Raw genomic sequence first — 18,260 nt, forward strand, 5'->3', positions numbered from 1 at the left:
TGGCCTATTGTAGGACCCCACCTTGTGATTACGTGAGTCAATACTCCTTAATAAACTTCCCTTTATAAAGACTCAGCCTAGAGTTACTTTTGCATAGTTTTCAAAATCCCTTCTTCAAGACAGTCAATGTTATTTATGATTCTTTGATATCCATAGCCCTTCTACAAAGCGTACTATGCCTTCTTTAATAAAGTGGAATTCTATGCCCTGTAATTACTCTGTCTCTTTATCTGTTGTCATATTTCCCAATCTCTCAGACTCATTTCTTGCTCATCCGCTCTTTTTACTCTATACTCATTTCCCTTGAGGGTTTGCGAGATTTAATAAGCTGTTATAGTGCCAGATATTATGCTAGCAACAACAATCCACAGATAAAAAAGACAGAGATCACCTGTGTGAAGATGATAGTTAAATGAATAACTATCATTTAACTATCCTATTAGTTCTGTCCCTCTAGAGAACCCTGACTAATCCAATGTGAAGAATTTCAAGTTTTAAGGATTTCACTCTTTTTGATGGACATATAGGGGAGATATGAAATGAACTTTTCACTGACCCACACAGCAGGAGTGGATGGAAACTCTGATCCCGGAAACCTGATGTCGATATTTATTTGGCAGTCCAGCATGTGGACATGTCAGGGGTGATGACAAGTATGCAGAAAGCCAGAAGAGCAGATATTATCCCCTCTCCCTGCTTCCTGGCACCTGGAGTACCACTGTATGGCCTCCCCTCATACTCCTCCTTGGAGCTTGCAATCCTGAGGAGAGATGCAAAGCTGCAGGGTAGTCATAGGAGTGGCCCCAGCAGTTCAGAGGGGGGTGACACCAGCGGGAGCATTCTCACCAGACCATTCCTGACATGCAACTTGGACTGTATTTTTGGTTTCCTGCCCTCCCTCACCTTAATACCTGTTTATTTTCCACGCTTAGTTTCCCTAGCCTCCTGTTGTTTCTGTGGGCTACCTACTGGTTTTCCAACAAATGTCCTCTCTGCAGTCAGTCAAGTGGGCTTCTATCATTTGCATCCAACGATTCAGATTCTAATCCACTCCTCCTGCCCCTGGCTTTGGTTTCCCAACATGGTCAACTCATTAAGCACTCACTGTTTCTAGGGGTACGTTTTAAAGTTACTTTTTTTTGAGACACAGTCTTGCTCTGTTATCCAGTCTAGAGTACAGTGGTGTGACCTCGGCTCACTGCAGCCTCGACTTTCCAGGCTTAAGCAATCCTCCCACCTCATCCTCCTGAGTAGCAGGGACTATAAGCATGTGCCACCACATCTGACTAATTTTGTTTATTTTTTATAGAGATGGGGTTTCACTATATTGCCCAGGCTGGTCTTGAACTCCTGGACTCAAGTGATCCTCCCACCTCGGCCTCCTAAAGTGCTGGGATTACAGGCGTGGGCCACCACACTCGGCCTAGAGTTACTTTTGCATGTTTTTCAAAATCCCTTCTTCAAGACAGTCAATGTTTTTTATGATTCTTTGATATCCATAGCCCTTCTACAAAGCGTGCTATGCCTTCTTTAATAAAGTGGAATTCTATGCCCTGTAATTACTCTGTCTCTTTATTTGCTGTCATATTTCCCAATCCCTCAGACTCATTTCTTGCTCATCCGCTCTTTTTACTCTATACTTATTTCCCTTGAGGGTTTGCGAGATTTAATAAGCTTTTATAGTGCCAGATATTATGCTAGCAACAACACTCCACAGATAAATAAGACAGAGATCACGTGTGTGAAGACGATAGTTAAATGAATAAGATGGAAAGTAGATTAATGCCCAGCCAGGACACATAAGCTGTCACGCTTCTCAAAGCAAGGAGGAAAATATTAGAGACACATAAAAGATGGGGATTTGATTCAGTTTGACATCTCTTTCTACAGCAGCAGGATGCATTTATTCCATCAGTGTCCACCGTGCCCCTAGAATCTGCCAGGCACAATGTGGTGCCTGCGTCCTGGTAATCTCTCCTTATTTCTCTCTTGTAGGATGAATAAGCTTCTTTTGGAGGTACGAGCCCATTTATCTCTCTCTCTCTCTCTTTCTCTCTGTCTCTCTCTCTCTCTCTGTGTGTGTGTGTGTGTGTGTGTGTGTGTGTGTGTTGAACAATACTCACTTTTAAATGCATGAACAAATGGAGAGACATCCTGGAATGTGTGGCTAGTGTTGACAACAAGCTGCTTCTGCTGAATGTGACACAGTCACCACCGCTTTGAACTACATTTTTTTTTTCTACCCGTGTTACTGCATCTCCAGAGAACCATGCTGACACATTTTTCCCGTACATTCTCACTGCTGCCTATAATCCATCACTACAAAGAGAGGCCTTAAAAACTGCACTCAAGGGAGACATGATTTCCTTTCCCTTTCTCTGTCAGAAAAGCAACTCATAATAGGGAAGGAAAAGATTGCATTTAGGTTAAAGGAATATAAATAAGAAAGAGTCTGCCTCTTTCTCTCTTTAAGACGCTAAGCCTCAAAAGGGTTCTTGGTTTTAAAAAGGCCATCACCCCTTGACCTACACTAAACATTAATATTATATACCTGGTAATAAAGCCAGAGGATTTTTAGTGAGAGCTATGAAAGGGAAAGGATGGCTAAGACAGGTTTCTTTGGTGGATGAAAGTCACAGGCTCATAAATACAACTTTGCGAGGTTAGTCTTGTGGTTAGCTAGTACTTAAAATTTGTGATTCCCTCGACTATATGGGTTGACGGGGGAACTATAGACTTTTTCTCAGACAAGACAGCAGTGCTCAAAATTACGACTTGAAAACAGAAACGACCAGAATTCCTAAGGTGACCAAAAAGCCCCACAGAACTGTGTTAAAACTGTCCTCATATTTGGACACATGTACTGAGTAAGAGGGGAGCCCAGGGAAAAATGCCATTTTTGCCTTTTAAAAATTAATTTTGCCATTGAAAACAACGTTATAGCTTTTAATTTATTAATCAAATAAGATTTTCATTGACTGGACAAAATTTCCACCAACTTACCCCACATTTAACTGGTGTCAAATGATTATTTAGCTAATGCTTATTATCAGTCATAGCTTAATACTTTCACTGCTAATGCTGGGTAGAAAGCCTAAATTTTTAAAATATTTGAGCTCCTTAGGTGCACTCAAGCTAGGGTTCCGTGTATCTGCTAATTTAAATGGCTAACAAAAGCCCCCAGTGAACAAAGTCCCCAGTGAAATGCGGTGCAAATCTCTATGTCGCTACTGATGCAGCTGTAGGGTGGGGGACTGGAGGTTTGCTCGGCATCCTCCCATTTTTGAAAACTGTTTACATGCCAGACTTGAAGCTTCCTTTTTTTTCTAACTTCTCACAAAGTACGAAGGCACCTACTCGCTGGCTGTGTACAAGGAGCTTTGGTAACAGCACTCATAATTCTGTGGTTTTCACGGTCAAGGATATTATTTCTCTCTGCTAAAGAAGAGGGCTTCGTCCATGTCACATTCTCTCTCTTTCTCTTTTTAACGTGATTTGACAGCTTGAATCCAAAAGGAGGCTTCACAATTAGAAGAAAGGGATTGAACCACAACATCTGTGCTAACAGCCCCCATCACTGCTCTAATTAGAATTCCCTTATTCCATTTCTGTTTCTCAGGAGAGGACAGGGGGCTTTTTAATTGGGGCTATTAGAAGTTCTCTTTACACAATGACACCCTCTGCTAAGGGAAGGCTCCAGCGAAAGCCATGCCCACTCTGCAATTACTTCTTGCAATTCTGGGGAATAATGGTATCTTGTCTCATTTAAAAATAAATCTAAGTCTTATCCCTATTGCTTTCTCTCCTCTGCCTACTCACATGAATTTCTTCTTGCCAATTAAGCAAACTTTCCATTATTTAAGGAGATAGTTTAGATTGCTACTGTCCCCTGATAATAAGACATATTAAACTGGATTTCATTTGCCCACAGCTCTGTTATTCCAGATACAAGGCTAATTTACATAAGCTCAGATCTCAGATCTTGAGTTTACTGTGTAGTGAAACCATGCAGCTTTGGAATTTCCTGAGTGCTGTTTTGTTTACATGCCACAGAACTTACCTGAAAGAACCTGCACATTCAATGCTCTCAGTTTCTCCGAATCACTTCCTCTTAAGAGAACAGATGTAGGTTTGTCTCTATGACCTATTCCCAGAAAAGAAATGAAGTATTTAGATGATAAACAAGCGCATTGTTAACATATATTCCCCATGTTGGTTCAAAGGATTACCAAAAAGAATGGAGCCATTCATGGCCAGGCACGGTGGTTCACGCCTGTAATCCCAGCACTTTGGGAGGCTGAGGCAGGGAGATCACGAAGTCAGGAGTTCGAACCCAGCCTGGCCAATATGGTGAAACCCCATCTCTACTAAAAAATACAAAAATTAGCTGGGCGTGGTGGTGCATGCCTGTAGTCCCAGCTACTCAGGAGGCTGAGGCAAAAGAATCGCTTGAACCCAGGAGGTGGAGGTTGCAGTGAGCCGAGATCATGCCACTGCACTCCAGCCTGGACGAAAGAGTGAGACTCCATCTCAAAAAAAAAAAAAAAAAAAAAAAAAAAAAAAAAAAAAAAAAAAAGGAAAGCGACAGCTCTTATACACAGAAAAGTATATTTTTATCTTATTATATACATAGATATGATGTGAAGAATATTCAATGTATGTTTAATATTCAATAACATTTAATGTGCTAAGTAGTGTGACATTTTTTATTACTTTGTATGCTTGGATTTGCAAGCCTTTGAAAATCACTAAGTCTGTCATTTGGGCAGATATTTGTAAGAATTTAATTTGACTCCCCACTACTGGTCTCCTTCTAGACATTTTTTCTAGCTCACTTCTATCTCTCTTTGCTTATAGCTTTTCATATGGGAAAATGGGTCAAGAAACTCAGAACTATACACTATTTATAAATAACACACATTTACTTTAAATAATAGAATTTTCAAAACTAAATACCCTACATCTTAGTTCTGACATTTTACTAGCTGTGCAGCTTTGGATAAACACTTAACCTCTCTAAGTCTCAGGGGATTTTTATCTACAAAATAAAAATAGCATATATCCTGTTTACACAGTTTAAGAATCTAGTGAAAATGCTCTGAAAATGGTTATTCTACAAATAAACAGTATTGATTATGTTATTAACCACTGCACAAAGGGCTTTATTACTAAGGTATCAATGATAACACTTGATATGAAACTGCTCTCAAAAATATCTGCAACAAATACCTAGTCAAAAGAATGAATTGCAACTTTACTGAAACCTGGAGGCAACCACTTGTTCTGCCTACTGAAATGGCTAACACAGCCTTGCCTGGTAAAGAAGGAAAGAGTCTTGGGAAATCATACAACCACCACAATACTACTGTCCTTTAATGAAAACTAATTATGCACTAGACACTGTGGTAAACTTTGTAAGTAATCTCTGTATTTCCTTACCTCAACCCTGTGTGGTAGTGGTGATTATGCTTGTTTTACAGAGGATGTAAGGGATGCTCACATAATTTAAATAACTTGCTTAATGTCACATAGCTAGTAAGTGGTAGTACTAGGACTCTAACATAAATCTATTTATTTTTAGTGCCTATTCTTATAGTAATACATCTTGCACTGTCTTTAAGAGACTAGCTACTCATATTATGAATTGTCCATTGGGCCTGATAGTCATCCATTTTATGCACTGGGGACATGCCAGTAGAGCCAGTATTTGCATGGGTACACACCGGTAGCATCATACCAGTAATTTACAATCAATGTCCATCCTGATAGGTGGGTGCCTAGGTCATACGAGTTATTAAATATTTTTAACGTTGCTCCTACTGTCCTGATTCCTAATTTCTAATTTCCTTTAGCTCAGCCCTGCCAAAAATCTGATACCCCCATGCTTATTAAAGATCGACTCTGCCTCACACCCGTCACCTACAGCCACTCTGCTCAAGATCTCCAACTCTGAAATTCTTGTTTTTGTGACTGAGTCTTGCTCCATTGCCCAGGCTGGAGTGCAGTGGCGCGATCTCAGCTCACTGCAACCTCCACATCCTGGGCTCAAGTGATTCTTGTGCCTCAGCCTCCCAAGTAGCTGAGATTATAGGCTTGCGCCACCATGCCTGGCTAATTTTTGTATTTTTAGTAGAGACGGGCTTTCACCATGTTGGCCAGGCTGGTCTGCTGGTCTCAATCTCCTGACCTCAGGTGATCCGCCTGCCTCAGCCTCCCAAGGTGCTGGGATTACAGGCATGAGTCACCGCGCTCGGCCTGAAATTCTTTATCCCCACTTCCTGTTCTTCTCTCTCTCTCTGCCCTCACTTCCGCTAAGCCCTGCTCAATGTCCAGCTCATCAGCTTCTTCCTATTCACCCAGTCTTTCTTCTTCTCTTACTTGCCCGAGTAGAAGAAAGATGAATGAAGCTCCTTGCATGCTGGAACTGTGTTTTATCTACGTTTTTATTCCTTGAGTTACCAAGAATCACCACTTATTCACAGTAGGTGCACAAGAAATGCTAAATTGTACTAAAAAGGAAATGAAATCCATAGAAGAGATCAGGAGTTCCTCGGCACTACAGGGATTATACTTACTCTGCCACTTTTGCACTCTTCTCTGGCCTTCAAGTATTTTGCGGATAGTGAGGATGATCAAAAATATAAAAACTAATAGAACTAAAATATACCAAGTGATCTTCATGGAACAAGTGATATCTGTAAAGAAAACAAATACTGTAAAAACCCAGTAAAATTATTCAACAGATAAAAGGCAATGTGGCAGTGTAGCTGAGTTCTACAACATATTCTGCCCTGAATTGAAAAGCTGAAATTATGACCATCACTGTTACAGGGTCACTAGCTCTCCTGAATTCTTTCTTGATATATGAAATGAAGGTATTATACGGGTAAACTTGAGTAGGTAGCTTCCAGCTATCCATGTAGTTCCAAAATTCTAGGATTCCTTTCACTTACAGGTTATGCTGATATTAGTTTCACTATCCTCGCTGTAACTAAGGTAAGACCACAACATAGCAATCCCAGAATCAGAACCACTTACAATTCATAATTTTGACCCTGGGCCAGGCAGCCCAAAAATATGTCCTCAAATCAGCAAAGATGCAGTGAGTACAAGGAAGATGGGGAAGAAAGAGAAAGGCAGGCAGTCAAAGGACTGGTCTGAGGCATATAAGTGGCCAGGACAATGAATAATCAGACCCTCTTTCCACAGGGTAATAGGCGGTAAGTACAGTGCTTTGCACGCCAATGATCAGATCAAGTGCATGCACTAATTAAACGTAGTTGCCCTGGCCTAAATTTAATAAGGATACAGGTATAAACTCATTCATTCAGATGACAATGAGGCAACATGGGAAGGATGTTCACCATGCAGCAGTAGCTTAGCACGGTCTCCCATGGTCTCATAAAGACACACTGGCCAGCAGAACCAGGAATCAGTGACTCACACAAGGGTGGCATCATCATAGCTAACACACAACTGTCTACTGACTCATTTTTTATTTTATTTTATTTTATCTTATTTTATTTTATTTTATTTTATTTGAGACAGAGTTTCACTCTTGTTGCCCAGGCTGGAGTGCAATGGCGCGATCTCAGCTCACCACAACCTCCACTTCCCGGGTTCAAGCGATTCTCCTGCCTCAGCCTCCGAGGGGATTACAGGTGCTCACCACCACGCCCGGCTAATTTTTTGTATTTTTAGTAGAGATGGGGTTTCACCATGTTGGCCAGGCTAGTCTTGAACTCCTGGCCTCGGGCAATCCACCCGCCTCGGCCTCCCAAAGTGCTGGGATTACAGGCGTGAGCCACTGCACCTGGCCTGTCTACTGACTTTCTAAGCCCACCCTGTGTACACTCTTCTTTGCATACAAAAGACAGCTAGTACTTATGCACCTTAGCAGAATGTATACCATGTTTATACTCTTGGTATGAACTGCCTTTGTGGGGTTCATAACCTGGGTGTCCCCTTTACAGGAACCCAGATGTACACTAAATAGGCATTAAGCATTCATTTAGAGAGGTGGCTAAGTAGAAAAAGGGCAGAGGTGGATTAGGATGGCGGCGCTCAGCCTCCCCAAGACTATTCCACGCTCTTCAGCTGCCAGGCTTGCATTCCTCACGCAGCAAAATAAAAGCATGAAGTTAAATAGCAGAGAACACTGGCAGTGCCAGCAACGATCAGGATGGGTCCAAAGACCAAGGTGTCATTGGGCACTGATAAAGCTATGGAAACAGAACCAACTTCATATTGCAATAACACAAGACACATGATGGGGACCAGACCAGCCAGTGCAGCCACCAGCATGATCTCAGAAGAGTGTATCTCCTAGGGTCCTGTGCTGCCCACCCATCCCTGCAGCCTTCTTAGAGAGGAGCAAGGGGAAACAGACAGAAATCTGGGGGGAACATCGAGGAACAGTTTAAATTATTATCTCAGAGTAAATTTGCCAGACTGGATCACATTTAGTTTGACCCCCTGATGGAGAAGGCTTTTACTCCCACCAAAGTACAAAGTTGGTTGTTGCTGTTGCTTTGTTTTTTTGGTTTGTTTTCTGGTTTTTTTTTTTTTTTTTTTTTTTGAGAGGGAGTCTCACTGTCACCCAGGCTGGAGTGCGGTGGTGCGATCTCGGCTCACTGCAACCTCCACCTCCCGGGTTCAAGCGAGTCTCCTGCCTCAGCCTCCCGAGTAGCTGGGTTTACAGGCGCATGACACCATGCCCGGCTAATTTTTTGTATTTTTAGTAGAGACAGGGTTTCACCATGTTAGTCAGGCTGGTCTCGAACTCTTGACCCCAAGTGATCCACCCACCTTGGCCTCCCAAAGTGCTAGGATTACAGGCATGACCCACCTCGCCCAGTTAAGAAGGCTTTTAAGCAAGATCAAATTAGTTTTTGCACAGCAGAGTAAACTATGAATAAAGTTTTAACTGTCTTTTTCTTTTCTTTTCTTTTCTTTTTTTTTTTTTTGAGACAGTGTTTCACTCTGTTACCCAGGCTGGAGTGCAGTGGCCTAATCACAGCTCACTGCAGCCTTGTCTTCCCTATCTCAAGCAGTCCTCCTGCCTCAGTCTCTGAAGTAGCTGGGACTAAAGGTGTGCACCACACCTAGCTTATTTTCATCCTTTTTGTAGAGTCAGGGTTTCACCATGTTGTCCAAGCTAGTCTCGAACTCCTGTGCTCAAGCAATACACCCACCTCAGCCTCCCAAAGTGCTAGGATTACAGGCATGAGCCTCCACCGTGCCCAGCCACCTTTAACTTTCTACCCATGGCAAAATGAATATACTTTTCGCAGAATACAAGAGTACATATTTGTGCACCACTGCTATCTTTGTGGACACCCAAAAGCTGTTAACTATTATTTCACTTTGATTCTAGAATTTATGGATTTTTTTCCATGAACACACACACAAAAATCTTAAAATTATTATTATGGAAGTGCTTATTTTTTCTTTATTTTAGAAAAAATATAAAATACAGTTAGGTGGATATACAAATGTACATTGAAAAAAATATGTTTTTGATGTCTATAATCTAAACTTCTTTACCCTTCAGATTTCACTACAGTCACCTTCTCTAGGCAATCTTTCCAGAGTCCATCTTCCAATTCATTCACTCCTCAATCAGAGGGAACTGATCCTTCTGTTCAGATCTACTCAGATCCTCTTCCATAGCCCCCACTCATGCACACACCTTGAAATGACCCCTAATTGCAGAGGTTATAGGGCCGTGGGAAAACTTAGTCACAGGAGAAATTTCTTTGAAGTCTCACATTTTATCTTAAAAATGCGTGCACATTATATATTTCTGTTTGCTTTAAAGTGAATGTAATATTTTGAAAATCATTACCTTTACAATAATTAAAGCTTTAGAAAAGCAATCTGAAAGGCTTCCGTATGTCTGGAATATCAAAAAGGACAGCAAATTACTCTCCCATAGCACCTGTGGCACTGGAAGGCACTTGCTGGTGTAGGTGAGGGGTCGCCCTCTTTCAGATTGTTTCATATCATCTAACTTCATGACCCCAACACCTGACACACTGCCTAGCATACAGCAGGCACTCATTAAATGCATGTATCAAAAGATGCTCTCCAGGAATAGATTTTTTGGGTGAAGTAGGGCATACTGCTTAGTAGAAAGGAATAATTGTGGTATTTCAGAATAGGGTAACTAGGAAGTTAACCAACCTTAAACAGAATTAAGTTATGCAAGTATGTAAGATTTGTCTTTTAATCTCCTATTTTTTCCTCTAGGTGCCTAATCTGTACCTCACCCTATCTTCACAGCATTACAGCAAACTCCCATTTCATCCAGGCCTGGTTCTCAGCTCCAAGAGAGAACATGTTAAATCAACTCAAAACAAAAATTTAATAGCATATCACAATGTGCTACATATATATATAATATATTATATAATATATTATATAATATATATATATTATATATATATAATATATATATAATATATAATATATTATATATATATATATTTTTTTTTGTCTTTTCAAGACAGAGTCTCACTCTGTTGCCCAGGCTGGAGTGCAGCAGCGCGATCTCGGCTCACTGTAACCTCCGCCTCCCGGATTCAAGCGATTCTCCTGCCTCAGCCTCACAAGTACCTGGGACTACAGGCAAATGCCACCACACCCAGCTAATTTTTTATATTTTTAGTAGAGACGGGGTTTCACTGTGTTAGCCAGGATGGTCTCGAACTCCTGACCTCATGATCCTCCCACCTCAGCCTCCCAAAGTGCTGGGATTACAGGTGTGAGCCACCGCACCCAGCCAATATTCATATTTTAAAAGAAATGCCTCCCTTTAGTACACAAATATGGTGGTATTATTTCACTCACAGAAAATAGGCATGTTTCAAAGTTATTCTGTGGTGGCTCATACCTGTAATACCAGCACTTTGGGAGGCCAAGGCAGGTGGATTGCTTAAGCCTAGGAGTTCAAGACCAGCCTGGGCAACATGACAAGACCCCGTCTCTACTAAAAATACAAAAAATTAACCAGGTGTGGTGGTGCACACCTGTAGTCCCAGCTACTCAGGAGGCTGAGGTGGGAGGATCACCTGAGCCCGGGGAAGTCAAGGCTGCAGTGAGCAGTGATCGTGTCACTGCACTCCAGCCTGGGCAACAGAGTGAGACCCTGTCTCAAACAACCACCACCACCCCACTGCAACAATAAAAAAAAATTATTCTGAGGCAGAAGGTCTTTCCAGTGCTCCTCAAATCGTGACCCATAAATGCCTCCTCTTTCTCAGGTTACAGGTAGGCCCCATAAAAAGCATATTTTGAAAGAAAAATAAACAGATAAATAGACTAACATTCTTTCAGGCTATATTATTTCATCAGTAAAATTCTTCAGCTATTTGGCTTTCAGTTAATGTGATAGCCCTTACTTAATTTTACATATCTATATCGGATAACTCCTTTTCCCTTTAGTTTCCTTAAAAACTTACTTTTTATATCCATCTCTAGGTGCAAAGAAATGTGTATACAATCATTCGGGTATTCCATGATTCTACAAGTGTAGTTTATCGATTTCTCCTTGCTTGGCTCATCCTCCATGATTGTTGATCTTCCAGTGTGGTTTTTTAGATGACAGGTAGTGTTATATTCCTCCAAGTGGTCAACCAGAGGAGCTACACTGAAGTTAAAGTGCTGACAAGGTGAATGAAAATCATTTGCTTTCACTTCCATTGATCCTCTCCTGATAAGAACTAGAAAGTGATTAAGAAAATGTTATTTGCAAAATATTAATACATAGCAAGAAAACACATACAATTCAAAACTAAATCTCTTCCTTTCTATACAAGAAAGTAGAAACAAGAAGTTTCCTACACTAAAAATATATACATATTTTTGAGACAGGGTCTCACTCCGTCTCCCAGGCTGGAGTGCAGTGGCGTAATCATGGCTCACTGCAGCCTCACCCTCCCGGGCTCAAGCAATCCTCCCACCTTAGCCTCCTGAGTAGCTGGGACTACAGGTGTATGCCACTATGCTCAGCTAATTTTTTTAATTTTTTGTAGAGATTGGGTCTTGCTATGTTGTCCAGGCTGGTCTCCAACTTTTGGACTCAAGGGATCCTCCCTCCTCAGACTCCTGAATTGCTGGGATTACAGGCGTGAGCCACTGCAGCCAACCTAAAAATAATCAGTAAGGTGGTTATATTTTTTAAGATCATGAAAACCAGGTTGTGGTAGTGTTGGAATAGGATTGGAGCATCTAAAAGAAAATACACACATTTCCCCAGTGACTTGTGGGACAGACTGTATTGTGTGACCAATATGGTCACAACAATATTTCCCATTCCACACTGTACTAGTTTTTTAGGGCTGCTGTAACAAAGTACCATAAACTGGGGGGTTTAAAGAACAGAAGTTTGGGCCAAGCACGGCGATCCTGCCTGTAATCCTAGCCCTTTAGGAGGCCGAGGCAGGCAGATCACCTGAGGTCAGGGGTTCGAGACCAGCCTGGCCAACATGGCAAAATCCTATCTCTACTAAAAATACAAAAATTAGCCAGGCGTGGTGATGTGTGCCTGCAGGTGTAGCTACTTGGCAGGAGACTCGTTTGAACCTGGGAGGCAGACGTTGCAGTGGGTCAAGATTGCACCACTGCACTCCAGCCTGGGTAACAGAAGGAGACTCAGTCTCAAAAAAAAAAAGAAAAGAACAGAAGTTTGTCTCACAGTTCTAAAGCTAGAAGTGTGAGATCAAGGTGTTGGCACGGTTGATTTGTTCTGAGGGCTGAGCCCCTCTCCTAGCTAATGGTGGTTTGCTGATAACCTTTGGCATTCATTGACTTGGAGATGCATCATCCTGCTCTCTGCCTTCATCTTCACATGTCAGTCTCCCTGTGTCCATGTCTCTGTGTCCAAACTTCTCCTTTTTTGTAAGAATATCAGTCATATTGGATTAGGGCCCATCCTAATGACCTCATCTTAACTACATCTACAATGACCGTATTTCCAAATAATGTCATATTCTGAGGTATCGAGGGTTAGGACTTCAACATGTGAATTTGAGAGGACCCAATTCAATCCATAACACACATGTTACCCTAAAAACTTCACCATTTGCTCATTAAGGAATCTAATTCCTTTCCCCTTGAATCTGGTAGCATTCGTGATTTGCTTTTAATTCCTTTTCCTGGCTGGGCTCAGTGGCTCACGCCTGTAATCCCAGCACTTTGGGAGGCCAAGGCGGGTGGATCACGAGGTCAAGAGACTGAGATCATCCTGAGCAACATGATGAAACCCCGTCTCTACTAAAATACAAAAAATTAACTGGGCGTGGTGGCGCACGCCTATAATCCCAGCTACTCCGGAGGCTGAAGCAGGAAAATCACTTGAATCTGGGAGGCAGAGGTTGTAGTGAGCCAAGATCACGCCACTGCACTCCAGCCTGGTGAGAGAGAAAGACTCCATCTCAAAAAAATAAATACATAAATAAATAATTTCTTTTCCCTTGAATCTGGGAAGGTTTGTGATTTGCTTATAACCAATCAAAGGCAGAGGAAGTGACACTGCATGACTAAGTCAGAAAAGGCAAAGAAATTCCTGTCTTGCTTTTCAGAACACTCATACTGGAGCCTTGAACCACTACGTAAAAGTCCAAAACCTTAAGGCCACCATGATGTGAAGACACCCAGACTAGCCCAGGTAGAAAGACCACATAAAGGAAACAATCAGCAGAGTGAAAAGGCAACCTACAGAATGAGAGAAAATATTTTCAAACTGTTTATCTGATAAAAGGTTAATATCCAAAACACATCAGGAACTCCTATAACTCAATTGCAAAAAATATATATATCAAATATTTTTAAATGGGCAGAGGACTTTCATAGACATTTCTCCAACAAAGATATATGGCCTATTGATATATGTGAAAAGGTGCTCAATATTACTAATCATTAGGAAAATGAAAGTCAAAACTACAATCAGAAACACCTCGCACCTGTCAGGATGACCATTACTAAGAAAAAAAAAAAAAAGAACAGGTGCAGTGGCTCACACCTGTAATCCCAATACTTCCGGAGGCCGAGGCGGGTGGATCACATGAGGTCAGGAGTTTGAGACCAGCCTGGCCAACACATGGTGAAACCCCGTCTCTACTAAAAATACAAAAAAAAAAAAAAAATTAGCTGGGCATGGTAGCAGGCGTCTGTAATCCCAGCTACTCAGGAGGCTGAGGCAGGAGAATCGCTTGAAACTAGGAGGCAGAGGTTGCAGTGAGCTGAGATCGTGCCACTGCATTTCAGCTTTGACAGCAGAGTGAAACTCCATCTCAAAAAGAAAAGAAAAGAAAAAAAAACATAAGCGTTGGCAAAAATGTGAAGAAATTTAAGCTCTTGCACAGTGTTGGTGGGATTGTAAAATGGTCCGGCTACTATGGAAAACTGTCTGGCGGTTCCTCAAAAAATTAAAAACAGAACCACCATATGATCCAGCAATTCTACCTCTTGGTATGTAGCCAAAAGAACTGAAATCAGCATCCCGAAGACACAATCTGCATTCTCTTGTTCATTGCAGCATCATTCACAACAGCCAAGAATAGAAACAACGTCAATGTCCATTGATAAATGAGTAGATAAAGAAAAAGTAAACTAGATAGATAGGTATCTGGAGAGATGGATAGATAGATAGACAGATAGATCAATGTCCATTGATAGATGAGTGGATAAAGAAAATGTAATAGACATAGCTAGGACCCACACAAAAAAAGAAAATTTATTTAATAAAATTATTGCTGTTTAAAACCATTGAGTTTTGGGGGTACTTTATTACAGAGCCACAGCAACTGGGACAATGTGTCAATGTGCTGTTTTCACCTTTCAAGGAGGCAGAGAAGATCTGTGAGCTACCAACCCTTAAAACACTTCCTAGTTCTCTGTCATCATAGAGGCATTTTCACAATTTGCTTTCTGTTGCATTCAGCCCAGAACCTGGAGGAGTTACGGCACTACTTGAGTAAGAACTTCATCCAAAGTCAATGACAAGGGGCAGAGGGGTGAGGGTTGGAACATTACCTACTGGGTACAATGTTCACTATTTGGGTGATGGGCGCACTAGAAGCCCAAGCCTCACAATTATACAAAATATATTCATGTAACAAACTTGCACATGTACACCCTGAATCTATAATGATATATTTTTTAAAAGAAGAGATACATAAATGCCCAATAAGTACATGAAAACAACAGAAAAACAAGGTAAATGCCAAGAAATTATGTTCCCATTCTCAAAGAATGCCAAAAAAATAAATTTCAGTATCTAGTGATAAGGAGGCAACCTCTCTCACTGAATAAATACAAGTAATAAATTTGATGTTTGGGCTTGAGGCCATCAGCATATTTTATGATTGTAAAGGAATTATTTAATTTCTCAATGATCCATTTTTATTTGATTTAATTAAATAATATAGATTGGTCTCATGATAACTGCAAGGTTCAGTTAGGCACTGCAGATAATAAGCAGTTATTCTTTATTTATTCAGTTGTTCATTCCACAAAAATTTACTGAGTGTCTACTAGGTATTATGTCAGACATTGTGCACAAAGCTTGAAATTTAGTAGTAAGCAAAGACAAAGGCCCTGCCCTCAAGAAGCTTACTGGAGAGTCAGAGAAGTAAAAAGACTTCACATACAATGACTAAATGTTAAGCAGGAGTAGGTATAAATGCAAGGGCTCAATGATTCCTTAGAGAATCAAAGTTTGATTTTACTATAAGAAACTACAGATTCACTTAAAATTGTTTTTTAAAGATTTACTACTTTTGAAGAGAGTATATGCCAAATAATCCTCTACCCATCATGTGTATATGAATTACAGTGGCATTTTGATGTATTTTAAGAATTCTTTGTTTTCAATAAGTCAAAGTAAACCAAAACCGAGTAACATCCCAAAGCCCAGCAAGTCACTCATCAAGAGCCACATCATTGAATGTTCCAGTGCCACTGGATCTAAAAATGGAATATATTGGCCAGGCGCTGTGGCTAATACACCTGTAATCCCAGCACTTTGGGAGGCTGAGGTGAGTGGATCACAAGGTCAGGAGTTCGAGACCAGCTTGGCCAAGATGGTGAAACCCTGTCTCTACTAAAAACAAAAAATTAGCCGGGTGTGGTGGCAGGCGCCTGTGGTCCCAGCTACTCGGGAGGCTGAGGCAGGAGAATTCCTTGAACCTGGGAGGTGGAGGTTGCAGTGAGCTGAGATTGCACCACTGCACTCTAGCCTGGGCAACAGAGCGAGACTCCATCTCAAAAAAAAAAAAAGAATATATTATTAATACGTTTTTAACAGAATAAATTAATTTATACCTGATACCATTTTATTCTCACCTTCACTTTGTGTTTACCTTTTGATGTTTGTTCCTGAGAAATAAAATCCATGTTTCCTTTAGACTCACAAACCAAACACGAGGAGCACATTTTAAATTCACCTGTGATGTCTTGGCAAGTCCTGGTGAAGTTACGAAAATTGGAGGGATTTAGAAAGATTCTCATGATAATCTGAGTTTCCCTTACTGGTTGCAGAAAAGTCACAAAAGAAAAATTTAAGGAGGAGAGTGAATAGGTAAAATTAGATTGCAAACACACTTCCAGACATGATAGCTCCAATGTTCTTTCTGTAAAGAAAAAAGAAAAACACTTTCTTTACTGTAAAGCTTTGAGTTTTTGGCATTCAAATAAATACACAGTATGCTCCCAGTTTTTCTTAGGTGGATTCAGTACATTTCAGCTTATCAGAGACAAGACTGTTTTTTAAACTTGAATTAACAATAACTATTCCATTTAAATATTTCTATTTCATTATTTTTATTTATTTATTTTTTTTTTTTTTTTTTTTTTTTGAGACTGGATCTTGCTCTGTCGCCCAGGCTAGAGTGCAGTGGTGTAATCATAGCTTACTGCAGCCTTGGCCTCCCAGGCTCAGGCAATTCTCCCAACTCAGCCTCCAGAGTAGCTGTGACTGCAGGGGCATGCCACCATGCCCAGCCAATTTTTAAAAAATTATTTGTAGAGACAGGGAGCCATGGTGCCCAGCAACATTTCTCTTTTAAACCTGTGAACATTCCCTATTAACTTTCAGAGAAGAGGTGTCTTTATAAAGAAGCGCTTGGAATCTCAGCATTTTAACCATTCTCTATTCTGGGGAATTTTTTATGGACAAACCTTAGATTCTTCTGAATCCATCTGTTCCAAAATAAAGACTCAAGTCAATTGCATGGAGTTGAACAGGGTATGAAAACTTTGAACAGTATCTCTGTATCAGTTTCCTAGGGCTGCTGTAACAAATTTCCACAACCTTGGTAATTTAAAACAAGAAAAATTCATTCTCTCACAGTTTTGGAGGCCAGAAGTCCAACATCGTTTCAGTAGTCAGAAGTTGAGAGGTCTACATGATTGTACTACCTCTGGAGGTTCTAGGGAAGAATCTGTTCCTTGGCCCTCTGGTGGCTGCTGGCATTCCTTGGCTTGTGGCCACATCACTCTAATCTCTGTCTCCATAGTCATATTGCTTTCTCCTCTGTGTCTCTGTTTCTACTAGCCAAAAAGGCTAATCCAGAATAATCTTCACATCTCAAGACCTTCAACTTAGTCACATCTGTAAAGACCCTTTTTCCTTATAAGGTGACATTGACAGGTTTCCAGAATTAGCACCAGATATCTTTAGACGGCCATTATTCAGCCTACCACAACTTCTAAAGATGAAATTTAACAAGATGACAGCCTAATTTTTACTTTTGTCTGAAGACAAACATAAGATATGGAAATTATGGTATAATAGAAATAATACTGAGTTCAGAAACAAAAGACAAACACTCTAGGCTGGGTGTGGTGGCTCACACCTGTAATCCCAGTCCTTTTGGAGGCAGAGGTGGGCAGATTGCTTGAGCTCAGGAGTTTGAGATCAGCCTGGACAACATGGCCACCCCATCTCTACAAAAAATACAAAAATTAGCCAGGCGGGGTGGTGCACTCCTGTAGTCCTTACTACTCAGGATGCTGAGGTAGAAGGATCACTTAAGCCTGGGAGGTTGAAGCTGCAGTGAACCATGATCACACCACTGCACTTCAGCTTGGGCAACAAAGGGAGACCATGTCTCAAAAGGAGAAAAAAGATTCCAGTGCTATATCTGTCAGTCATTAGTCAAGATACTTAGACAATTTACTTAATCTCCACGAGTCTAATTTTCTTACTAGCAAAATAGAGATAAGCCTGCTAATCTCATGGGGTTATAGTAACATCA

General features: G+C 40.9%; 1 protein-coding gene across 15 annotated transcripts in view, besides 1 other annotated feature; it reads right to left on the bottom strand.

The window, feature by feature from the left end:
- The window catches only part of TMEM156 (transmembrane protein 156), a 65,666-nt gene that overhangs the window by 15,532 nt on the left and 31,874 nt on the right, over nucleotides 1-18,260 (bottom strand). For 10 of the 15 annotated variants that reach the window (NM_001303228.2, NM_024943.3, XM_017008629.2 and 7 more), the window contains 4 exons: nucleotides 16,365-16,634; nucleotides 11,463-11,723; nucleotides 6,576-6,695; nucleotides 4,061-4,144 (listed from right to left, as the gene is read on the bottom strand). In NM_001303228.2, coding sequence (NP_001290157.1) covers nucleotides 4,061-4,144; nucleotides 6,576-6,695; nucleotides 11,463-11,723; nucleotides 16,365-16,634 — 735 coding nt within the window. The remainder of the gene's footprint in view (nucleotides 1-4,060; nucleotides 4,145-6,575; nucleotides 6,696-11,462; nucleotides 11,724-16,364; nucleotides 16,635-18,260) is intronic. The other 5 variants (XM_047416190.1, XM_011513753.3, XM_047416189.1 and 2 more) reach the window with 1 other exon arrangement.
- Nucleotides 6,004-6,503: an enhancer, noted in NCBI's record as "H3K27ac hESC enhancer chr4:38989899-38990398 (GRCh37/hg19 assembly coordinates)". NCBI's record gives its function as "activates a minimal SCP1, AML or CMV promoter by ChIP-STARR-seq in primed H9 embryonic stem cells {active_cell/tissue: H9 hESC(primed)}" and the evidence as "EXISTENCE:reporter gene assay evidence [ECO:0000049][PMID:30033119]".

The sequence above is a fragment of the Homo sapiens genome, chromosome 4 (assembly GCF_000001405.40).
Source record: "Homo sapiens chromosome 4, GRCh38.p14 Primary Assembly".
NCBI classification, from domain to species: Eukaryota; Metazoa; Chordata; class Mammalia; order Primates; family Hominidae; genus Homo; species Homo sapiens.